Here is a 26,833-nt window from a genome sequence, read left to right as displayed (position 1 = left end):
ACATAAGCATGTCACCTAGACTTTTAACATTGCCTCACTCATTTTAACATTGCCTTTTCTCTCATTAAAACACTGACATTATTAAAAATCTCTACTACATAGGCTTCTGGGATCCCTGGTATGAATACCCATTGCTTTCAGAGAAAGAATCAAAAATAAAGTCATGATTATAAACTTTTTTTTTCCCAGTTGCTCTGTATCTAGGTCCTCGTAAATATAACAGTTGAATAATGTAGGATTACAAAGAAATCATCATATAGCATCTGAATTAAAGAATGTAAAATTTAGATTTTGATGTGGCTATGAGTAGCATAAAAATAATAATAATTAAAAAAATACCCACTATTTTGAACAAGACAGAAGTTTCCTTTATCAAATGAACCTAGTTCTGAAGTTGCCATACCAGAGGTATGGATGCAGTGTGGAGTGGCAGAGACCTCGGCTTCTCCAACCATGTCAGTTTTTTAATGCATAATTTCCACTCCCAAGATCATCTCATGATTGGACATGGCACATGAAGCTTTGAGTAATCTGACTACACAGTAGCAAATAGTGAGAAGTGTACATTCTCTTGGTTTATCCCTATTGTTCAGACTACTTATACCACTCATAGCTACCAGAACATTTGGAAAATGTACTCAAGTAGTTGCCTGGGGATGTGTTCTTATACAGAAAGGTACCAAGAGATATTGAGTAGATCCGCCTAATTCTCCTCATCTCCGTTTTACTCAACATGATACACATTGAGCTTCGTGATGCTCCATTCACTGTACAGAAAAAAGCAAATTTAAAATATAAAAGTCCTGGCCAGGTGTGGTGGCTCACACCTGTAATCACAGTACTTTGGGAAGCCGAAATGGGCAGATCACTTGAGGTCAGGAGTTCGAGACTAGCCTGGCCAACATGGTGAAACCCCATCTCTACCAAACAATACAAAAGTTAGCTGTGCATGGTGGCAGGCACCTGTAAGTGCCAGTTACTTGGGAGGCTGAGGTGGGAGAATCACTTGAACCTGGGAGGTGGAACTTGCAGTGAGCCCAGATCACGCCACTGCACTCTAGCCTTGGTGACAGAGTGAGACCCTGTATCAAAAAAATAAAATAAAAAAAGTAAAATAAAATATAAAAGTCTCAGTGGGACAGAGAAAGGAATGATAGGGTGGAGCATTGGAGCTATGGTCTGTGGAGCCCAGTGCAAGGTTTCTGTTTGCAGAGGCTGGTTTAGGAGAAGTACATTGCTGTATTTTAAAGCATCGACTCTAAGTTACTGAAAGAAGGCTTTTGTCTCTGGCTCCATCACGGAGCAATGAACAAAGGCTTAAGTTCCTTGACTGGCACATTTAGCTACTTTTTTCATAAGGGATTTTCCAAATCGAGGCATGCGAGAGGAAAATCTAAGTGAAAGGTGCTGTCTTACTGGGCCATGAGGCTAAAATAGAAGTTCAGGTCTGACAAAATGTCTTGAACCCAAAGAATAGGAAATACAGGAGAAGTAGCCAAAAAATCTGTATGTGTATTTTCTCCAAATTGCTAGCTTACCCTTAAGCTGTAAAGGTGCAGACGAAGTCACCAGGACACCTAGGAGACTACAGCAGTCAAGAGAATAAGCATCTGAAGGCCATTTCAGCATTCACTCCTGCAGGTTACAACCAGCCAAGGTGAAAAGATCTTGGGTCAATACTCCAGGTTTTCTACTGAAGCCCCAGAAGGGCTGGGACCTAGAGAGAAAAGCTACAGGCAGGAATAAACTATGTCCTAAAAGTAAGAGTAAAACCTAAGTAGATCAGCCCTAAGACATTCTAAAATCCCATTCGTAAAGTTTCAATGAATGTAAACGTGTAATAAAAGGTCACTACATACTTGAAAAAACCATCCAGCATGAGAAAAGCTAAAAAGATAATTTCAAAATAATTGTATAATCATATGACTGAAAAACACGTTTGGAATCATTAGATACAGGAAACAAAATAAGTTGGTATCATTGAGGATATGCTAGATTAATTTGTGGTAACAGACAACCCTAAAAGACAAACCTTGAGAGGACCAAGGTAAACCACCAATATTCAGACTTCCAGAAGGATATTTAAGTAATAACAGAAAAGCTCATACATATTGAACCATGTAATTACTGTTTCTGATGTTCTCTATTACTTTGTGTAAATCTACATTACCATCTAGAATTATTTCCATTCTGTGTGAAGGACTTCCTTCACATATTTAAAGACATTTTTCTTGGCCTGGTGCGGTGGCTCACACCTGTAATTCCAGCACTTTGGGAGATAGGGGAGGGCAGATTGCTTGAGCCCAGGAGTTTGAGACCAGCCCGAGCAACATGGCGAAATTATGTCTCTACAAAAAGTGAAAATATTTGCCAGGTGTGGTGGTGCACACCTGTGGTCCTAGCTACTCGGGAGACTAAGGTGGGAGGAACACCTGAGTCTAGGGGGCGTCAAGGCTGCAGTGAGCCATGATTGTGCCACTGGACTCCAGCCTGGGCAACAGAGTGAGAACCTGTCTCAAACAAAACAAAACAAAACAAAACAAAAACAGAAAAAAGAAATAAAAAACAAAGACAACATTTCTTATAGAGCAGGTGTGATGACACTAATTTTTCAGGTTTATATGTCTGAAAATGTCTTTATTTCACCTCATGTTTGAAATCTATTTCTGCTGTTCATGGGCTTCTGGGTTTTAGGTTTCATTTAAAACATTAAAAATGTTGTTCCACTATTTGCCCACTCGCATTGTTTATGATCTACTCTAATCCCTATCTTTGTTTCTCTGTATATAGCATGTCTTTTTCTCTTCTGCTTTTTAAGATTCTGTACAACTTGTTTTCAGTAATTTGATTGTGATATACAGTTTTCTTCTGCTTCTTGTGCTTGGGGATTCTCAAGACTCTTGCATCTCTGGGTTTGTAGTTTGCACCAAGTTTGAAACCTTTTTAACCATCATTTCTTCAAATATTTGTTGGGCCTGGCTTCCCCCCTGCCTTGTGAAAATCCAATTGTGCATATGATATCAATAGATTGCTTGAAGTTCACCCACAGTTCATTGACACTCCTTTTTACGATCATTTTCTTCTGGGCTTTTTTTTTTTTAGATAGAGTCTCACTCTGTCACCCAGGCTGGAGTACAGTGGCATGATCTCGGCTCACTGCAACCTCTGCCTCCCGGATTCAAGCAATTCTCGTGCCTCAGCCTCCCCAGTAGCTGGGATTACAGGCACGCACCACCATGCCCGGCTACTTTTTTGTATATTTATTAGAGATGGGGTTTTACCATGTTGGCCAGGCTGGTCTTGAACTCCTGACCTCAGACGATCTGCCTGCCTCGGCTCCCAAAGTGCTGGGATTACAGGCGTGAGCCACTGCTCTCTGCCTGTTGCTTATTTTTTTATAGTAATTTTTGTTATGTCTTTAAATTTACTAATATTCTCTTCTGTAATATCCAATCTGCTGTTAGTTACAACCAGTCAATTTTACTTTTCAGACATTATAGCTTTCACCTCTAGAAGTTTGACTTTTGCCTCTCTTGTGTCTTCCAAGTGTCTGCCTAACATTGTGAATATACAAAATGCAATTATAAGAACCGCCCTAATGTCTTTGTTTGCCGTTTCTAACATCAGTGTCAGTTTTGAGTGAATTCAATTGATTGAATCCCCCATTCATTTTATTTTCTTGCTTTGTTGCATGTGTGATCATCTTTGATTGGATGCCTGACACTTGACTTCATTGTGTTGAGTACTGAATGTTTGTGTTTACTGGCATCTGAAGAGATCCTGCTGAACTTCTTGCACTTTGTTCTGCCATGCTGTTAGTGGAGACAGTGTGACTTATTTGGGTCTTGCTTTTATGGTTTGTTACATGGTTCTGAAGTAGAGTTACATCAAGGGTTAATTCTGCACTTTAAAGTGGGAAGAAATTCTCGGGTACTATACTCAACATGCTTTGGATTGAGGTTTTACAGCGGAGTTTCTGGAAGAGGCTCTACGCCTGCCCTTGTGTGCATACTGGGCAATGTTTGATTTCAGCTTTTTGTGTGGTTCTTTCTCAGACCTACATACTTTGCTCACATGAATGTGCTAATCAGCACTTTCATGAACATTCAAAGTATTTCTGCATATCCCCAGATTTCTCTCTCTCTCTTCCACTGTGTCCTGAGAACTCTACCTACTTTGGGGCCCCATGACTCTCAGTTCCAGTCTCTTCATTTTAGGGAATCTTCTGGGCTGTTCCTGAGTTTCCCCTCTGTAAGTCACCACCTTGAAATTCTCTTGAGGAAAAAAGGTGGGGAAGTGAATAGAATCCTCCTCATTTTTTTTTTATTTTCTGTCTCTCAGGAAATATATTATAATTAGGCCTTTCATTGCTGAATTTTGAGTATTTTGAAACTAGTCTTCTGTATATTTTTGTCTGATTTTTGTTTTTGTTGTTATTGGTGGGGGCATGAATCTTATCCTGTTTATTCCATCTTGGCAGGAAGTGCAAGTCCCACACAAGTAATTTGAACAGGAAAAATTTAATAGAAATAATGTTCACAAGTACTAATGTGGTTAAGTCATAAGAGGGTCAAAATAGAACTCTAACAGGTAGAAAATTTGCAACAGCAGAAAGTAGCTACCACCTATTTTAAGGAGCGTGAACAAAGGAAGAACTTAAAACACCAGAAATGCCTAGTTCCCTACCTCCCCAAGGCTTAGATTCAAATCCTTTGGAGAAGGTGTGTGTGGCTGTCACAGAAACACGCACTCAGCTGGTGGTTAAAAAGCTGGTACAGAATGCTGGCCAGGGTTGATCCACAAGGGCTGCTTAGATGAGAACTACTGAATTACTTATGCCTCATCTCCTGGTTTTTTTTTTTTGTTTGTTTTGTTTTTTTGCACGAACAGTACCCTGGAGGCAGGAAAGAAAGCTCTTTCCTCCTGCAATGGTATTAGAAGCCTCTCTAGTGCCCTCTATTGACAAAGCCTAATAGATCAGTTAGTAAAAGAAAAATTTCAACAGAGCCCAGCAGTCAAAGTGTTACAAAGCAGAGAGAAGGGTCCATTTGGAGCTGAAAATTGATAGACTGGTAACAGGGTCAATGGAATATGCTGTACAGCAATAATTAAGAATGATGTGATGCTGTATGAAGCGACTTGAATATTATAAATTTAAAATGGAATAAAGGAAACCATGCACAGGAGAGTATATGCTTAATAATTTCATTTATATAAATATCACAAAGAGGTAAAGATGATAATCTCTGTAGGTAGAATTGGAATAGTATTACATTTCAGAGAAAGTCATTGAGGATGTATATGGAAATGCCTTCTGAGTGCTTGGTTTTTTTTATTGCTTTCTTTTCATTTTAATTTTCTATTTATTGATCAATTAATATGACCCTAGAAGAGGAAGTACAGCATAATATTTTTGTGATACAAAGCAAGCAAAAGAAAACAATATATTGCTTATCCTTACACATATTAGTAATTAAGCCATGTTATATATTAACATGTTAGTAATAAATACGAAATTCAGCATAAGAGCTTTGGTTTGTGGGAAGGTGAGTGGAAATAGAGTTAGAGCAGAGGCAGTTACTGGTAATATTTTAGCTTGTATGAGAACCTCCCAGGGATTATTACATTTTTATGCTTTATAACATAATGATATAAGAAAACTTTAACTGAATTGTGTAAAAAAATTCAAGAATCCCTGAAAATTGGGCAATTTTGAAATTGTTTCCAAAAGAAATCAGAAACCTTCTATGCCAATTCTATTTTAAATACACAGAGCTATTAGGGGCAATTTATACCCACATACTCTGTGTCTTCAAATGTAAGGTGATTACTCCATTTTTGATATTAGAATATCCAAAAAGTGCTATTTAACTTATATGAACATATAATATTTGGAGAAAAATGTCTTACAAAGTGAAAATGTCAAAGTTATTTTACATGTGATTTATTCAGTTTCCTTTATATTGCAAAAATCATGGATTATTTAAGTAATAGATTATATATATGTGTAGATGTATATATTTAAGTTACAGTTAATGAATGGATTTATCTAAATCTACACATAGATCTTTAGCATCCTATCTTTGTCACAGTAAAGTTACTCTATTAGTTTTACCGCACATGGAGAACATACCTATTTGACGACTCTGTGAACACCAGAAGTAGGGTAACCGATGACAACTAATAGAACTTTTCATTAAGGACTGTAGAAAGCAACACTTAGTAGACTTGAACAATAATGAAAACAAGCTCAAATAAGGGCAAAATATTTGAAAGGGCTGTTTAGACTGTCTTCAAAATAAAATAGTATAGAGAATTCACCATAAATGAATAACTTCAGTCAAATGTAAAGACTCCATTTTTATTAGGGATACCTCTGGAAAAATGTTTAAAATTTAGACATACAGGGTAAGTTTTAATTGTTTATTTTGATTGAATGGCCAGACTCCCTGCTTCATTATATTGTCACCCAGAAAACCTATATGCCTGATATCTGCTTTTCAGTAATTGTGTACCTTAATATTCTTCCAATAAAATAGGGATAGTTATTTACTTAAACTTAAGTTGCCTAAGTTGTTTACTTAAATAATTATCACTATTTTGTAAATTGCCTGTTTAAAGAAAATGTATGGTGCTAAGATTAAGGTTGATAGGCCAATCTATTGTGGTTTGTGAATTGATCGTTCTGATTCAAATTTCAATCTGAAGATAGTTGTAAAAAATTTCACATTGTTTTCTGATATATTTCAGATGAGACTTCCCTTTATTTATGTAATTTGATACATTTTGTACTTCATTCTTATACAACATAACAAACTTTTCATGTAGTGTAAATTGAAAACTTCACAAATACTCAATAAGTCTGATTAATGAGGACTTCAACTGGTCATTTAGATAGTAAAACTAGTTTAATTGTAGATTGTAATGACTTCATTGTCAATGCACATAAAAAGCAACCTTCTATTTCACATGATATGTATCTTCTGACTTCAGCTATATGGAAAGGGAAGCCCATTGTTTTCCGACAATAACAAGGCTGAATAAGTAAAAAGTTTTTATAGTATTTATCAATTCATGTATAAATGTATTTAATAAAATCAGATAGAAAGGAATAGTAATAATTTGTAAAATGTATGTTATACATTATAAGTCATAAACAAAGGTAACCATTTAAAAATACATAAATGCATAACACTTGCTTCTTAGGTGCTCCCAGAGCAGCATATTTCAAGATGGTTTTGAATATAGTGAATACAGAAATACCCCAACCTAACTGTTCAGAGTTAGACCAATTAACTTATCATAGGCACATTAGGTCTATATCTTCAATATCAAATAGAATGCTGAGGCAAGCATCCACGTAGATGAGGCTACTAACATTCTTCTTTACATAGCTTGCATATTTTCAGTTTTTCAATTTTATATTTAATTTTTTTAAATTTAATTTGTAGGTATAAACAGCTGCAAAGACCTCATGTACTTATATAATTGAGTTACAAGTTAAGTACCTACACCAAGATAAGAACAGTGCCTACATATATTTGGCATTTAGTAAATGTTTTCCATTCATCAATATAAGAAATAAGAATATTTATATTAATAAAATAAATACGACAAAATCATTCCTTTTTTTTTTTTTTTTTTTTTTTTTTTTTTGACACAGAGTCTCACTTTGTCACCCAGGCTGGATTGCAGTGATGTAATCTCAACTCAGTGCAACTCCACCTCCGGTGTTCAAGCGATTCTCCTGCGTCACCCTCCGAAGGAGCTGGGACTACAGGTGCATGCCACCAGGCCCGGCTAATTTTTGTATTTTTAGTAGACACGGGGTTTCACTATGTTGGCCAGGCCAGGCTGGTCTCAAACTCCTGACCTCAGGTGATCTGCCTGCCTCAGCCTCCTAAGGTGCTGGGATTACAGGCGTGAGCCACCATGCCTGGCCTCCATAGCTCTTTAATATTCTCCCTATTTATTTATTCCACAAAGCTCATTTGTGCTGCTATGTGCCAGGCACAGTCTTCACCACTGATGGATATGAACAAGAATCATTGCCATTGGGAGAGAAAAATAATAAACTAACAAAGTTAAATATAATTAACTTAAAATTAATAAAACGTTGGGCAAAAATACATTAGGGGAGAGGCACAGGGATGGCCAGGTTGTTGATAAGGTTTCATCTTTCTAGCCAGTGGCTTGGGGAGGCCCCATTGAGAAGGCTTATTTGAGAACAACTGCAAGGAGGTGAAGCAGCGAGCTAATGGGAGATCTGGAAAGATGGTGAAACTGGCAGAAAGAAGGAAAGTACAAAAACCCTGGGGTGGGAGCATTTCTGAAATTTCAGAAAACCTTCAGAGCTAAGTTTCACTGGAGTGGGATAAATGAGAGTTAAAGGAACAGGAGATGAAGTCAGAATACGGAGAGTCAGAAGGGAAGGCCTTATGAGCCAGAATAAGGTCCTTGATATTTACTTGGAGATGAGAAACTACAGGACTGTAGGCAGACGACTGGGGCCTTAGTGGTCTTGGGCAATTATCCTTTATTCTATAGCCTTTCATTCTTCTAATTTCACATATGACTATTTTATTCTTTTTTTATCCTCAAAACTTTCCTGTCCCTGCTATAATCTCCAGTGTCCCACCTTCGTTCTCAGCTGATGACTTAAATCACAGAAAAAGCCAAAGGCTACGAGAACAGATCTCACAACACACAAGCTCCCATTGCTGCCCCATCTGCCTGCCTTCCTTCTCACTTGTCACTGTGGAAGAAATGACTACGCATCTTCTCGAGGGCGAAGCCATTGAATATCTCCCTGCTCCTTTCTGGATCGTGCATCTTTCCTTCTTATCTGGCCAATTCCCTCTGGGTGGTGGCAGGCAGAGACTGTGTAAGGCCACATGGTGATGTGAGGGTGATGGGTTGATCTGAGCGCCTTGGCTTCTTTTGGTGACTGACATAAATCTAGGTCAAGGGCAAAGGGAAGTTCATTCCGATTATCCTAAGGCAGCTAGCTGTGGTGAGGAAGTGAGTGTTGAAGGTACAGAGGGCGAATTGGGGTTCTCTGCTTTGCTTCTTCAAAGGTAGAAACAAAGACAAGCACGGGAGAGACACCTGCCAAGAATACCACAGCTGTCAGCTGTGGTCACCATAGGTTAGTTACCCTGAGCTTTCTTGTTCTGAATTCAACAATGCAGCCTCTTCTGCAGCACTTACCTGTACATGGCAACAAACAAAAAACTGCTGCTGTGTAGCAGCCTGGACCAGGAATAGGTGGCTTTTTCCTATAGGTCAAATAAAGCACTGTGGACAATCATGATAGACAAGATGGAAACATGTGTAACTCTCCCAGGAAAAGCATAGTGTGGGCCTCTAGAGCGCTCCTCTCATTCCCACCCATGAGGAATATTTGGAGGTGCCAGGGACTCAGAAATTGCCTGGGAGCCTCTTTAATAGATGAGTTCATGATACTCAGATACATCCACACGCACGTGAATGATAGGGCTGATGTACTGAGACGCTATTATAGTATTGAAATACCAATAGTACACAGCATTCCTAATGCCTATGCACATGCCCTCAGAGTGGGATCGTTCATAGATTCCCTCCAACAAGGGATCAGTGGAAATGGCTGCTGGGACACATAGGTGATACAAGACATTGAAAAATTAAGCTGATGTTTTCTGAAAAAGTGAAGACTTTAGTACAAAACACTGATACAGGAAGATCTCAAGATCAAAAGAATGAGTTCTCCTCTCCACTGCCCTGCAAAGGCACAGGTATTATGAACCCTGGTATAGGAAACTTCACGAATTGTTATGAGAGAGAACTCCTGCTTTTGGGATCCAATATTCTTTGGGCTATGATAACCGGATGGGCCACACAAAATACCCTGCTCCCATAATGTAGGTCAGAGAACAAAATTAATCTTTTCTCACAGATGGTGGGAATCACGTAGAAATGGATCCCATTCATGTCGGAGCAAATAGTGGTCCCAAGCATTGCCATGTAAGGATGGAGAAGATTAAAAAATAATCAAATCAACTATGCAAACGGCACAGTACAATAATAAAAATAAGAATATACGTTAAATAATGCAGAATTACCTGAGAACTTAAACTCAATGCAGCAAGAAAACACAGAAGGAGACAGTAAGGGATGTTGCAAACTGAGGGCGATAAATTGAGGACTGAACTATTAGAAACCAGCTATGTAGATTTACCTAACTACTGAATTAATGGCACAGAGTATGGTTTCTCAAACTTTAGCATTCTTCAGAATTGCCTGAAGCTACTGTTAACAGAATACTGAGTTCCTAAATTGAGGACTGAACTATTAGAAACCAGCTATGTAGATTTACCTAACTACTGAATTAATGGCACAGAGTATGGTTTCTCAAACTTTAGCATTCTTCAGAATTGCCTGAAGCTACTGTTAACAGAATACTGAGTTCCACTCTCACTGTCTCTGATTTAGTGGGTTTGAGGCAGACTGAGAATGTATTTGCATTTTGAACAAGTTTCCAGGTGATGCTGATGCTGCTTGTATGGGGCCCACGTTTTGAAAACTATTTATATAGGGGCTAGAGAAAAATTAGTAGTAACTTGAAAAGGGTAAGAAAAACAGAGGGGAGAAGTTATTAAAGATAACATTGTATTAATCTCTTTTCACACTGCTGATAAAGACACACCCAAGACTGGGTAATTTATAGAGAAAAAGTTTTCCATGTGGCTGGGGAAGCCTCACAATCATGGCAGAAGGTGAAAGGCACGTCGTACTTGGCAGCAGATGAGAGAGAATGTGAGCCAATTAAGGGGGTTTCCCCTTATAAAATCATCAGATCTTGTGAGACTTATTCACTACCATGAGAACAGCATGGGGAAAACTGCCCCCATGATTCAATTATCTCCCACCAGGTCCCTCCCACAACATGTGAGAATTATGGGAGCTATAATTCAAGATAAGATTTGGGTGGGGACAAAGCCAAATCATATCAAACATGCAAATGAAGAAAGTTTACTTATTGAAATAAAAGACTTAATCTGAGGTTTAAAAAGCACACCTTACAAGATTTTTAAAGTCGACTTTTGATCTATTGTCAGACTACAGATAAAAACTACACCACAAATAAGATTATTTTAGCTAGCCAGATGTTATTTTAAAACTAAAGTGTAAACATTTGCTTTTTATTTTTCATAATTCTTTATTCAGCAAGCGAGACTGGCAAGCCATTTAAAAGGCAGAGAAACTGAGCTGGCCTCAGACAGGGCTGGAAGACAATGCAATAATGTTGCCTACCGAGATCTTTGGGAAATAATTCTGGAGCAAAGACTTTATATTCTGCCACGTCAATCGTGCATAGATGCACAGGCTGACATTCTCAAATATGAACCATCAAGAAAAAGAAATTATTTTCTGTCAGTGAAGTCTGGTCAAAGAACAGTTAAATAAAAACAACTCAAGAATTGAGGAACCATCATAAAATGAATTCTGTTAAGTACTCAATCAATTTAAATATAAAACAGTACGAAATTATGGTGGGAACTATAGTTATAGAATTGAATAACGATGTTACAAACCTTGAAAATGTAAAAGCTAATATAATTGGCAGACTTGGGTTATGATGAAGTGTGAATATATTCATGTCCTTGTCTTCCATACCAGAGTCTAATATTGAAAAGTGATTATAAATAACACACAATGATCCTAACTTTCAATGTCTTTAAGGAATTTTTTAACATCAGAAAATAATCTAATTGGATAAATATTTCATGTTAGACAATTCCATTTCCTCTCAGTTTTTAAGTAAAATTAACATGATACTTTAATATAATGCAAGGTATTCTTTTAAAATGTCATATGTTGCATGATGATAATTAAAATAAACTTTTATCTGTCTGTCTCCTTTACTATCTATATACACTCATTTGTGCATATTTATACAAGGACTTTTGGAACAAGGTATAGTTAAATTTCATCTACATACTTCTGCTGGAAAGACTTTTTTTCTCTATCTTCTAGTGCTTTTCATATTGCTTGAATTCCTTATGTTGAGTATATATCAGCTTTACTCAAAACTATTATTTTTCCTAGGAAATGAAAATAAAATTAACAAGAAATTTCTTGTGGGAAAAAGCTAATTGAACTTTTTTGATAAATGAATTAAACATATTATCTTTCTGGGAACAAATACCAATGTAAATTATTTAATTACACAAACCATTAGAAATATCTCCAGAGCATGTCATATCTGCAGTTAAACCATGTGGAACTCAACAGTATAATCATGCCAAGCTAAAAGCTTAAGTGTGCCTGTGTGTGTGTGTGGGTGGGGGTGGTGATTTTACATTAGATATAGCAGTTGAGTCTCTTAGAAGAAAGCTAAACATTTTTTAAAAGGATTTTTCATATTTAAATGATGGTTTGGGAAACTGGATGAAGTCTAGTGTTTTAATAACTTATTTATAATTAATAGGGGAATAGCACAGTTTCCTATACTCTCATAGTATACAAAAATATATACAGAAAAGATGAAAATAGAGCTGCTCAGTTGCCAGATGTAGCAGTAAAGAGCCTCATGGACTTCATCTGTCTTCTGCTTCTGGAGTGGCCCCTGAAAACTTGTTTGCCCCAGCAAGTTCTATGGGACATGAGGGGCAGTCTTCTGAGTCACAGAACAACCAGAAAACCAGAAAAAAGGAGAGCTTCAAGAAAGAATCTCTGCTCTGTTTGAAATAAACAGTCTGAGTATTCTCCATTGACATCCCAGGCCTATTTCGCTTAATACATTTTAACTTAGAGAGTTTTGTATCTCAAAAACTTCATTCCAGCATTAATATTCCATTAATATATATGAGCAACAGAGCAACTGGTATAGGAAAAAGGAAATGAAATATATAGATGTTGAATAATTTGAATGTTTCAACACGAATCTTTACGGATATATGAATAAATGTATAGCCACACATTATATGCATTTCTTTTAATTAGTGAAGGTTTCAACCAATAATTGTTGTATTTTTCTAATAAATATTAAATTGATGAATTCTGTGACTTTAATTCATTTTAATAACTTCTTTATATCATTTAGATACAGAAATCATTCATGAAATGAATTAACAGACACATCCTGGCTCTGTGTTGACTACTTGCTTTTATGGATACAGGAAAATTATGCAACTCACATTACAGAATACTTTGCAAAGTGGACAAGGTTGCCAGCCAGGAAACTAAACAACAAAAGACCAAACTTTGGGCAATTTATGGGGGGCTCACATTATCAGAAATAACCTAAATTTTACCTGTTTTTCCACAAATAAATTTATACCATGTCAAGAACATAAAAATATAAATCCATCATGGGTAAAAAGCATGGAATAGTGCAATTGTTAAACCTGTAAGTGTTTCATATTACTTAGGCAATAAGCAAAAATTTTGTAGGATTTCATAAATATTCTCCAAGAAGATTTAATAACTATACCATTATTGTTTTTTTAAGTAGGTAAACATTTATCAGTGAAGCCCAAATATTGTTCCTTCAATTTTACTTTAAAATATATGCATTTTTAAATTTTACTTTAGGCATATGTTAAGGAAGAGTAGAAGGTCATTCAAGAATAGGGTTCTTGGGGAATACTAATTAAAGAAGGAAAATGAAGAGTATAAATTAGAGTTAAATTCAAATTATTACTTCGTTTTATGAGAAGTCAGAGATAAGCTTGCTGTTTGGAAATTGCATAGCTGGGATTACACTATATGGAGACTGTATTAGTTTGCTAGGGCTGTTGTAAAAATGTACCCCAAATTGAGAAACTTAAACAAGAGAAATTTACTATCTGATTCCTGGAGACTAGACGTCCAAGATCAAGGTGTCACCAGAGTTGGTTCTTCCTGAAGGCTGTGAAGGAGAATTTGTCCCATGCCCCATCCTGGCCTTTGGTGGTTTGTTGGCAACCTTCTGTGTTCCTTGGCTTATAGTCGCATTGCCTAATCTCTGCCTTCATTTTCACATGATGTTCTCCTCATGTGCATGTCTATGTCCACATTTCTCATTTTTATAAAGACAACAGTAATATTGGATCAAGGGCCTACCCCACACAAGCATGACCTAATTTTAATTAATTACATCTGCAGTCACCCTGTTTCCAAATAAGCTTACACTCTAAAGTACTAAAGGTTCGGACTTGAACATTTAAATTTTGGGGGAATACAACTTAACACGTAACAGAAACCCTCTGTGTTAAGTTGGAGAGATCTAATTTCTGATACACAAGTAGAAATCTGATTAATGGAGTTCAGATATTAATCCTGCTTCATATGAAAATTACAGGATAGTGGGACTTATTCTTAAGGCAGAAATTGGGGCAAGAATGCCAATGATACATTGGTAATTGGTATTGGTATTGATAAAAGACAAAAGCATGACAGCAAATAGACGAAGAGTCATTTGACCTGAAGAGCAGTAACCCCATCCTGGTTGTGTAAGCCCAGTGACCCTACATCCAAGTTCTGGAAGCATACAGGAGATGCCAGACTGCTTTGTAAGTGATCTGGCAGTTACAACAGTAGAAAAATAGGGGGAAAAGGTGACTCTGACATAGAAAAGATCAATCGAGCATTGCAATAGACCTTATCCTTGGGGCCTTCAACCATCAGAGTCCAATAACTTCTAAAGCTGGGACTGATGAAACCTAATGACTTGGATTTCACAGTAGTCCTCAAGGAGAGGAATGACACTTTGATGTTTGTATTAGACCATTCTTGCATTGCTATAAAGAAATACCTGGCTGAGTGCAGTGGCTCACACCTGTAATCCCAGCACTTTGGGAGGCCGAGGAGGGTGGATCACAAGGTCAGGAGTTCAAAGCCAGCCTGGCCAACATGGCAAAACCCCATCTCTACTAAATATACAAAAATTAGCTGGGTGTGGTGGTGGGCGCCTGTAACACCAGCTACTCGGGAGGCTGAGGCAGGAGAATTGCTTGAACCTGGGAGGCAGAGGTTGCAGTGAGCCGAGATGACACCACTGCACTACAGCCTGGGCAACAGAGCGAGACTGTCTCAAAAATAAAAAAATAAAAAAACAAAAAACAAAAAACAAAAACAAACAAGCAAGAAAACCTGTGGCTGAGTAATTTATGAAGCAAAGAGTTATATTGGCTCATGGTTTTTCAGGCTTTACAGGAAGTGTCGTGCTGGCGTCTGCTTTTGGTGAGGGCCCAGGAAACTTCCAATCATGGGGGCAGGTGAAAGAGGAGCAGCCATCTCACATGGCAAGAGCGGGAGCAATGGCAGGGGAGGTGCCAAACACCCTTAAAGAGCCAGATCTCACGAGAACTCACTCACTATTGTGAGGAGAATACCAAGCTATGAGGCATCCACTTCCATGACTAAAACACCTCCCACCAGTCCCCACCTCCAACACTGGGAATTACATTTCAACCTGAGGTTTGGAGGGGATGAATATCCAAACCATATCAATAGCACTTGGCTTTTAGAGTAGTGGTTTATTTGAAAAGCAGTTTACTGGGAGTTTAGGATGTTTTTCCAATCCAACTGTGCTTCGAGTAACAACAGGTAACTGAATATAAATTTAGCTGGGTTCAGGAATCAGTGGTCAATAGTACAACCAGAGTAGTCACAATCCTAGCCCACTCAGGTTAAGAGCTGGAAATGTAAAGAATACTTGTCACTCAGCCTTTGGGGATTTGTTCTCCTGAACTCCACTGAAGGCCTTGCGGTAAGAAGAAAAGCAGAAGTTGTAGTCCGAAATAGAACAGTCTACCACTCTCACAGGTAGTAGCATTGGCACACACAGCAGCCATGTTCCTGCGACAGGTGGAATGTTAACAGATACCCCAGAGCATGAGTACAATGGCTGGAATCTTAGTAGTCCAGTTACCAGATATCTGGGATATCTCTATCCCAAGAAGGCATAGATGGATCTTTATTTATACTGCTCCCTGGGAAACGGGGCTGAAACTTGCTGACTTGCCTGACTTTCAGCAGACATGACCTAGGGTATTAAGAGGCATGTCTAAGCTTACCTGATAAAATCTGATGTGGTGTATTTTAGAGATACAAAAGAATGGCCGAAAGTTCACAGAAATGGCTTGCCTTTAGCTTACCATGTAATTTGCCAACTAATACCTTGACACGCCCCACAGAGGTCACAAGGCGTGTCCTTAAATAAGCAAGCTAGAAAGGCCGTGCTTCCCTACACGAAATGTACTGATTGTCTTAAAAGGAGTAAGGCAAGGAGAACAATGGGGTAGCTGTCATGAGAATATGCCATTCTTTGACAGAAGTATGAGCAAATTCACTCAGACATCTGAGCAGGCTCATTGTTACGTATTTTCAATCAGGACTTAAAAAGCTATTTACTGTCTATAGGATCTTGGCAGTCAGGAGTAAAGAATGTAGGCAGATAATTTAATAAAGCTTGTAGAACTCTAGCTACCATTGCTTCCTACCAGAAATCATGCTTCTCTGCCCATGACATTTAGATTTGGGCAAAATGTAGTCTCATTGTGTGGCATTTCCACCGTCCTTATTACCCTGTGCAGCAGGAAGGATACAACAAAGCTATGGGTTTTTAAAGACTAGGCTTCTTAGAAGTACTGCACAGGCAATCAGCATTTACAACCAAGGAAACCTTCAAAAGATAGAGTCAGGGAAAAGGAATTGTAAGGCTAGAATCAGCCTCTACTTTTTTTTTTTTTTTTTTTTTTTTTTTTTTTTTTTTTTTTTTTGCAAGATGGAGTCTCACTCTGTTGCCCAGGCTGGGGTGCAGTGGCACGATCTCAGCTCACTGCAACCTCCACCTCCTGGGTTCAAGCAACTCTCCTACCTCAGCCTCCTGAGTAGCTGGGACTGCAGGAGCCTGGCACCACGCCTGGCTAATTTTTGTATTTTTAGTAGAGACGGAGTTTTGCCCTGTTGGCCAGGCTGATCTTCAACTCCTGACCTCAGGTGATCTGCCAGCCTTGGCCACCCAAAGTGCTGGGATTATAGGCATGAGCTACCGTGCCCAGCTTTATTAAGTAGGTGCTGCTGGAATGGTGTGGTGAAGGAACTCTATGTTGGATTTGTTTTACGTATTCTGAAACAGCTTTTCCACACAGGAAGTAACTACAATATTTCTAACTTGCCCACAGAAACTTAGATAAATTGGTTGAATGTAACAAAGTGCTTCCCCGTGAAGGTGTGAACATGTCCATTTGAGCTCCAGATTTGTGATCCATGAGACAAGAGGTGGTGGCAGTGGAGAGTGTTCTAGATCCAGAGTATCAGGCAATAGTGGATTCAATGAGATATTAATGGAAGTGTAGGAGCCATTTAGCAAAGCTTTATTTGCCACCAAATCCAGGGAAAAAAGAACTGGCATGATTAGCAACTCCTCTCTGCAATCAACCACAGGAGGAAGAATAAAAAGAGATCTGATCTCCCCAATTGAGAGATTAAAGGACACAGCCCTGGGGACAATGAATTAGGATTGCATATGTAGGTATACACAGGTATTATCTGTGTATTGAGGTAAGTTAACATCTGGATACATATAACTCTAGCTGCCCAATATGTTGCTCAGAAGTACCCAAATGAAAGTAGGGCAAGAAGAGATCAGGCTGGCTCAGGGAAGCCACCTTCCTTCTGCTTCTAACCTTACTCTTCCACTAATTAACTTCTTGTAGCACCGGAAACAAAACGGCAGATGCTATTTTGTTTTGTCTTTCCAGAATTATCTTAGGAAACCAAGGAGAGGAGAGTGACATCATCCCCTCACTCAAGAGCATCGGTAGTGTTGACTAGGAAATTTGATTGACTGGTTCAAAGACTGACATTCAGTGCACCTTACTCTTCAAGGCGTTAACAGTCCAGGCAGAAAGAGTAGTCAGAGCTGCCTCTCCTGTCACTCTAAAGGCTATGAGTCCTGAATAGTTATTGCTTAATATTTTAAGCACACAAACACCATGGGCAGTAGACATTTGAAGCTCATCTTATGAGGTAATTTGGAGAAAACTTGAACTGTTTTCTTTTCTCTCTTCTCTTCACAAACTTATGGCTCCAGCACTAGAACCTTCCAAGTGGAGGAATGGAGAATCTAGTGGCACATGTGGTGAGTAAAGGGATCTATCATTCAATTGTAATAGAGTTTAGTAAAAATTTTTATTCAGTCAGTATATATCCTATGGTAGAAACATGGTAATATAGAAAGCCAGCCCTACTTTAGAGCAGTAATTGCAACCATATTCTAGTTTTCCGGGAGTGGCACTCTCAGATAATTCGAGACACCAAAAGAGGGAGTCTATTTACACCAGTAAAAATATTGACATTGCTTATTGGCCACCTGTGACTAATCAGTCTTAATGTTGTTTATGTGAAATAATATTGTTCTCTAATATGGGAGGCATACCTCTCATTCCAGAACCCTATGTTAAATTGCACAAAAGAAACACTGTACCTGGATGAACAGGTCCAGGAGTAACACTGCAGCTAAGTATCAAAATCAAGGCATTCACACATCCCCTTTTGCAATGAAGGGAACAGCTCACATAGTGGTAAAATTCCATAAGGATAGCTAATACACTGTGAGGGTCTGAACAGCTCACCATTTCACCAGGAATTGATGGAAAGTGTAAAATATATTTCCAAGCCCAGAGACCCTTGCTGGCTCCTATCCCTCTGAAAGAACTACTCCACTCCGTCTCACTTGCCTATGCCTCTAGAAACCTGGAACCAAGTGAATGGGCACCAATACTTCTAATAACTTGGTCATACCTAATAGACTGAAAGAATTTTCCTCTCATGGCAGGTACCACAAATTGGTCTCTAGATATATAAGGAAAATTGGAATTGGAACCACTAAAACCTATATATATATACACACATATATATATGTAACTATATATATACATATATGTATATATATATACATATATATACAGCTTGAGTAAAAATTATACTCATTAAGCTATATATATATATTTACCTGAGGGATGGGTTACAAGCTGATCCTAAGATAATTTAACAAGGGGCTATTTAAAATTTATTTTGGGATCAGGGAAGAAATTACTAAAAAACAAGAATACTTTAAATACACAATTTCCATTGAAATGCTGGGCCAATAAGATAGGGGCCTATAGAAAACCAGTCATGTGAAATATAGTGCCCTAAACCCAGAGCCTTATTATATCCTATTGTTGCTGAATGGTATCAGTATGTGCTGTTGTATGTGGAGTGTTTGACCTGACATTTTTGACTAATCTCACAACACATGGGATTTAGCAGATATACATAAGAAAGTGGCTGACATTATAGATTAGTCCTTGAAAATGTTTCCCTGATTTTTCTCTGCTTTAGAAACATAAGAGCTTACATAGTAAAATATTGTTTGTTTCTTATCAGATGGTGTGGTATTTAGATTCTTACTTAATAGATATTGCCACCATTTTGAAGATATTTTCATGTATTTCAGATAATAAAAAATGTCAGTGGTTTTGAAAGAGAGAAGACTCCCCTCTGCCCCAGTCAAGGGGTAATGGTTTATGTAAGCCATTACCTGTTGCATAACCTGTTTGCTCCATGGGAAGCTCTGATATAAGTTAAAGGGCTGTGTCTCTGTAATTCAGCTAGTAATCTGATACCTAAAACTTTAGTTAATTTCCAATGACCCTTGGTGCATGATGGTTCGACAGCGTAATTTCTGCTAACTTGTGAAAGCATAAACATAGTGATATACTTGATAGTAAAGGCCGCTTATAATGGAAAGATGACATGTGGAAAAATAAAATGATTATTCAGTCTTTCTAGAATAACAGTTTTCAGTCTGTGTTTCATGGAGACCTGGTCAAAAGTGTGCACACAACAGAGATCTTACACTCATTTTCTATTATGATACTTCAATAAACAGTGAATAAACACTCACTCACTCCAAGCTTGAAAACCATTACTCTAGCTTCTCTGTGTTGTGCCATTTTATTAAGTCAGAACATCTGACAGCTACAGAACTAGATCATATGGTTTCAGTCTTTATAGAAATGCATCTAGTGAATGGCCTTTTGAATATTAGATTCAATCTATGGGTGTTATACAAAATAGTGTTATACAACATATTTTTTGTAATGTCTGAAAACATATATAACAACATGTACCGTTTTACTCATTTTAAACATACAGTCCTACGACATTAAGTACATTCACATTGTATTACCACGATCCATTTCCAGAACTTCTTTATCTTCCCTAACTGAAACTCTGTTGCCATTGAACACTCACTCCCCATTGCCCCTCCCTCGCCCCTGGCAACCTTCATTCTAGTTTTTGTCTCTATGAATTTGACGTCTCTAGGGACCTCATATAGCATTTGTTCTTTTGTAACCGGCTTATTTCACTTCGCACTATAACCTCAATTTTATTGACTTTGTAGCATGTGTCAGAATTGTATTTCTTGTTTAAGGCTGAATAATATTCTATTGCATGTTTGTACCAGATTTTGTTTATCAACTGTCATCTACTGATAGGCATTTGGGTTGCTTCCACCTTTTGGCCACTGCGAATAATGCTTCAGTGAATGTGGGTATATAAATATCTCTTTGATTCCCTGCTTTTACTTATTTTGGACGTACACCCAGAAGTCAAATTGCTGCCTTATGTAATCATTTGATATGTTCAGGAATCACCATAGCGTTTTTCAAAGTGGCTGTACCATTTTACGTTGCCACTCATATTGTTTTTATGACAAACACATTTTATGACAAACATATATCTCCACATCCGTATTTGCATATCTATTTTCTCTTTATGAGGAAAGACCATGGGTGAAATGTTTTTCCACTGAAAACATTATCAGCAATAGCCTTTCCTCTCCAGAGCAACCTACTTCTTTGTTCCCCCCGCATTGGACACTGTGAATCATGTGTTTATGTTGTTCTTTTAGCTTTGATCTCTAAGAAACACAGAGCCAAGTTTTCAGCCCACACCTAGCACTTTATGAATAATTTTTCCCTGGCTTCAACTTACTTTCATAATTTTGTTTTATTTGGCTGAATTTGCTCACCTTCTTTTTAATGATGAACCATATGAATTTGTGTTAGCAGCTGGAAAAAAGCAGGCTACAAATAAATAAGCACAGAATATTTAAATTGCATCATATTTAATTTCTTTTCACTTGGAATATTTTGGCATTTGAAAAAGATATCTGTGTCTTGCTTTTTTCCAAGTTCAGCTAGAATTGTAATGAAGCTGGAATTTGTTTTAAATAATTATACTGTATTTTGAGGAAGGTCAATATATGTAAAGGTCAAAAGCTGGTAGAAAAATTCAGATATATAGAGAAAAGAAGAGCAACTTTTTAACTCCTTCCCAGTTGCTAAGGAGTATATGCATACAGTTTTAATTCTACACTGTTGATTAAACTATGAACATGGATAGGAAGAAAATCATGTTTCTTTGTCAGTGCGTAAGCTTGACGTTTTCAATGAAACTTATGTGAACAGGCAAGGGAATAGTTGTTTAAAGGCGTTTCATTTTTTGAAGTGCTAAATTAAGCTTCGAGGGTGGATTTCTATGAGATTTCTCAGGAAGCTTTTTCTTAGGAGCACCTGGGAACTACTGCATGTAATCAGGTGAGTGGAGTGTCAGTTGAGTACAACAGGTCTGCGCGTGTTCATGTCTTCTCATCGCTCCTGAGCAAGGATAATGTGACCTCAATTCATTCAAGATTCTGGAAGATAAGGGGATATGTGTAAGGTTTTATGAGCTTATGGATTTAGGGCACAGTAGAGCATGAGTAGAGAGTTCAAGACATTGATTATTGCAGGGCACAGAGCAGTTTCTCCTCACCCAAATCAAGTTATTATGACTTTTATGAATCTTTCTAAAAATCAGCTCATACTGCATTTGTTTTCAGTGAGAAAAAAGTAAATATAAAGACAAATCTAATTTTGTTTCACAACAGTGGACCATCATTTTTTAGTTTTTATTATTAAGATTTTCCTATAATTTAGACTGAATACTCAGTTTTCCCCTTGCTACATGTCTTACAACAGTGAACCATCCTGCTTTAGGCAGTATGGCCTGTGACTTCAATTCTTAAAACAAATATAGAGAATTTTTTATTTTCTCTTCTCTCCTTTGCATAGCACATTATATCTCCTCACTTTATATTTGCTGAATAAATGACTATGGTCAGAAACATCCCCTAATGCCTGGCTGCTCCTAACTTAATGACGTCTGCATGTAAGCATGATAAAACTCAAAGAGAACCCCTCAGCCTCAGCATGTGCTTACTAGGAAGCAGACGGATTGACACAGAAATAGTTCGTATATTCCACAGCAATGACCGGAATTCTGAATCTTCTTTTGCACCAGAGGTGGTAGAGGTTTTATTATTTGTTTCTCATCTGTGAATGTGTACACGTTGTTCAAATTCTTCACTTGAATCTATTCTCATCATAAAACAAAGTTGCATTGACTACCAGGATATAATAAATTATTGCATATATAATATGCAATAATAATAATAAATTATTGCATATATCTGCATATAAAAAATATGCAGATATAATAAATTATTATAACTTTTTAAAGAAAAAAATCTCAGAAGTTGGCCTGGACTGTGGATTTGTCAGTTTGCATGTGGTTGGGCCTAGGCCATAATTTCTTATGTATATTTCACATTTCAGGTTCTATCACTATAAAAAATGAATAGGTTAATTCATCCATTATGCTACAGTCAGTGTCAAAAATTCAGAAAGTTAATAAAACTTTTATTCATCCAATATAAAGTAATTAATTTTATACAATTAATCCTCTTAAACTTTTTCCTCAAATTCTTGAAGGCTTAAATGGCAAACACAGACTCAAGCGTTGCTAAAAAGAAAAGATCACCACAGCCAGAAGAGGTAAGAGGGAGAAAAAGGTTCAGTATTTGGGTGGGTTAAACTGAAGTAACAGTTGAGGGAATAGGTAAATCTAGTCAGAAAGGAAATTGGAACTCAAATGTCTTCTCAGGAAACACTTGCTGCTGAGAGGTAAGAAGTCTCTAGAAACACCATGTGAAAATGTGTGCCGTGCCATTACTGGAATTGCTTTCAAATTAGACTGCTCAAATATTCAAAAGAATAATCTAAGAAAAAAAACTGCATTGTCGAAGAGCTAGACTAAGTGACCTGACAGGTCTTTTTCATCTCCACCTTAGAGAATTCTATTATCTGGTCTATCTATATGATAACCCCCTTGAAAAAAAACTGCACTGCATAAAATTACCTATATACTTTCAGTGGAAGATAAAAAGATGTGTACAGTGCACAAATAGCAGCCTGTGCAGATGTTAGCCAGGAAAAATGATTACAATTTAGAAAACAGAGATATGTTATCCTAAGAACCACAGGAGCATACAAGATAGGCAAGATTCTAGGAATTGATTTTGAAATGACATTTAATTGAATATTGAGTCAGGCTATCACTCTAGCATTGTTCTTTAGCTGTGTGAGCTCAGTTTTTAAATCTATAGCATGAGAAAATTGAATCATATGTTACTATGGTCCTTACCTCTCTCATTATGAAAAGTTTACAATTTAAATTATAAACTACAGTGCTGTGATAGCAAAATCATATTTTGACATAAATATTAAAGTGAGAATATTTATATTTTTATGTGTGAAGTTCGTTAGTGGAAAATTTTACATGTAATGATGCAGCAAAACGTCTGGAGAGAAGAACTCCATTGTATTTTCCCAAGCAAAATTGCCAGGACTTTATTTCTCAATGAATGAAATTCCATGGGACAGAAGGCATCTTTCCCTTGCAGTATCGTGGTGCTAAAAACTTTTCAGTAACTACACCAAATGCCTCATATGTTCCATGTTTGCTCACATTTCTCCAACTCAGATGACTTCTTCTCCCTCTTTCTTTTCTTTAGACCCCTGTCTTCTGGTCCATCATGTACTTTTTTAACCTTTTATTATATTCACATAATCAATTTCTTTTTTTTTTTTTAGAAATTGCCCCTTTCCCTCACTATAAAACTTTGTTTACAACTCTCATCTTAAACTTAAAATATGGTTTTATTTAGCAAACCTTTTATTTTACTTGTTTCTCTCTTTAGCCAGAATGTAATCCATGCCTTTTTAAAAATTATATGCTTTATTCACTCTGCTTCCTAGTGCTACTCTCTGTAACCTAACTTATATGTCCATCCTTGCAATGAAAAGATCCTTGATAAATCTACAAAGTGGCCACCAAATAGAAAATTATAACAATATAATCACTTCACTAATCTTCAACTTTCTTCAACATGTATTTACTCACTCATACATGTTGAGTTCCATTTTAGGTACTGCAATGTAAGATAATTTGTTCAAAAGCATGTGGTATGGAAGTAGAGCACAACATTATTTAAGTAATTACACAGGTAAATATAAACTTTTAACCCTGGTTAACATTTTAAAGAAAAACACAACATACTCCGATAGCATATAACAAAGGCACCTGAATGTGCCTTTTGAGCTAGAGGAAACATTCTTCAAGAACTGACATCTGAATTGAAGGACAATGTGTCCAGACTAAGTCTCAGAAGAATTTTTAACAGCTTGAAATTGTCAAGTGATGACTTTGAAAATAATTTGGAGAATAAAGAATAATATAAAACAAGCCAAAAAAAAAAAAAGGCAGACAGATGATGACTGAATCCTGGGGGAAAAAAGCTATTATTTTCTCCAGTTGAGAGACAATGGTAGATTGGCATGAAGTAGTTGTTTTTGAAGACAGAAAGAAATGGATGAACTTGAAAGATATTTATGAGGTACAATCGGCAATGATGGGTTACTTATGGAAGATGAGGATGAAAAGGGACAAAAAAAGCTTCCATATTTCTGACTTCTACCATTGGATTTGGTGATACATGGGTTACACAAAGAATGAATAGAGGTCAACGTTAATAAGGAGTTTTGTCTTGAAATCTTTCAAGGGTGCAGTGCCAGGAGAAACCCAGATGGATGTTAGAGAGATACCTAGATGGACGTTATGATCTAAGGTTCTGAGATAAATACATATCTGGCTATGAAAATGTTGAGGTTTATTCATATATATTTAATTGCCTGGGATTAATGTGTAGAGTCAGGGAAGGAAAGCCCAGCACAAGCTTCTTGAATGCTACCATTGTGTGCTGAGATGAACAAAGAGGTGCAAAGGAGTCTCAGAGGAGTGAAAAATGAGGAGGGTGTGTTGCAGTGGCCCAAAGAAGAAATACTTCAAGAATCAAAAGAATTACTCCATGAATATCCCAACTAAAATATTATTCTTGTCCTCTCATCAATTGCATTTCCTTTATTTTTTTCTTACTTTTGAACAATATATTTTCTTCATGTTTATTTGTTTCCTGTTTATTTTCTGTCTTCCCTGCCAGAAAGTAAGCTTTGTAACAGCAGGGACATTGTTCTGTTTATCACCATGTTCCCAGTGTCTGAAAAGGGTCTGAAATTAATGTTGACTGGATGTCACAATACTTCACAATTTCCAAAGCTGTTGAGGAGTCTAGCAAGACCTCTCCCACTGCATTTAGGGAATGAGAGGTCTTTGCTCATCTCAGAAAGTGCTTCTTGGTAGGGTCTTGGAGTTGTGGAGTTGGGGGGCGATGAGAAGTGAACAGGGGCTGAGGAAGTAGAGAAACTAGGAATATAAATTTATTTCCAGATATTTGACTGTAAAGAGGAATCCAGTGGCAAGATTATCCTTGGAATGCAATGTAAGGACAAAGACGTATAAACAAAATTGAAGGTTTGTGGGAAAGATACAGTTGGAAGAAAAATTCTGAAAGGGAAACAGTAGTGGAGATATCCTGAGAAAAGGGGGATAGGATGGATTATACAATGGGATAGTAAGTCTCTTCTACCCTCCCGTAAAATTGTATGAGGAGGCAGATGTAGGTAGGTGGAGTGCTACACAAAAGTGGGAAGATTTTATAATGTCAGATGGCAGTAGTAAGACCACATCTGAGTTAGCCTGGAATCAAATTACTACCAGCATTTTCACTGAGTTTTCTTTGAGTGTGGGACTGCCAACCCACTTTGTAAGAAGAACCAATTTTAAGTTCTAGAAACACTGTACCTATCAACTACCCTAAACTGGGAACAGGGCATAGGATACTGTTGAGAATAGAGGCATGAAGAGAAAAATATGTCCTATCACCAATATATAATGGAAGAGAATCAGTTGGTAATTTCTCCATGAGCAGGAGCAGGGGCTAACATGCATGACCCAGACAGCGTCATGATTAATGTGAGAATGGTTATTGGTGATAATGGTTAATGGTTGACTCATATGATGTGTTGTAAATGATGCCAGTAAATATTTATATTGTAACATTGGAAGACAGGAGATAATGAGATTTTAGGTCACTGTAATTCACTTTTCAAAAATAGGTAAAGTTTTTGAATTATGCCTTTTTTTGTTTCTGTTTTTGAGAGGGAGTCTTGCTCTGTCGTCTAGGCTGGAGTGCAATGGCGCCATCTCAGCCCACTGCAACCTCCACCTCTCAGGTTCAAGCGATTCTTCTGCCTCAGCCTCCAGAGTAGCTGGGACTACAGGTGCGTGCCACCACGCCCAGCTAATTTTTCGTATTTTTAGTAGAGACGGGGTTTCACTGTGTTAGCCAGGATGGTCTCAAGCTCCTAACCTTGTGATCCACCAGCCTTGGCCTCCCAAAGTGCTGGGATTACAGGCGTGAGCCACTGCACCCAGCTGAATTACGCCTTTTTAAAGTAAAACATTCTCTTCATAAATTGTTCTAAGCAGACATAAACAGACATTTTATTTTCTCTGTTGTGAACAAAAAAAATTA

The 26,833-nt window shown here is 37.4% G+C and overlaps 1 long non-coding RNA gene across 2 annotated transcripts in view; it reads left to right on the top strand.

Moving 5' to 3' along the window:
• LOC107984606 (uncharacterized) overlaps positions 1-25,292 on the top strand; it is an 84,462-nt gene extending 59,170 nt beyond the window's left edge. For both annotated transcript variants that reach the window (XR_001749995.2, XR_007063859.1), the window contains 2 exons: positions 18,062-18,109; positions 22,833-25,292. This is a non-coding gene — a long non-coding RNA (uncharacterized LOC107984606). The remainder of the gene's footprint in view (positions 1-18,061; positions 18,110-22,832) is intronic.
• The last annotated feature ends 1,541 nt before the right edge of the window (positions 25,293-26,833 follow it).

This window comes from Homo sapiens, chromosome 13 (genome assembly GCF_000001405.40).
Source record: "Homo sapiens chromosome 13, GRCh38.p14 Primary Assembly".
NCBI classification, from domain to species: domain Eukaryota; kingdom Metazoa; phylum Chordata; class Mammalia; order Primates; family Hominidae; genus Homo; species Homo sapiens.
This window is presented reverse-complemented; position numbering and strand designations above follow the sequence as displayed.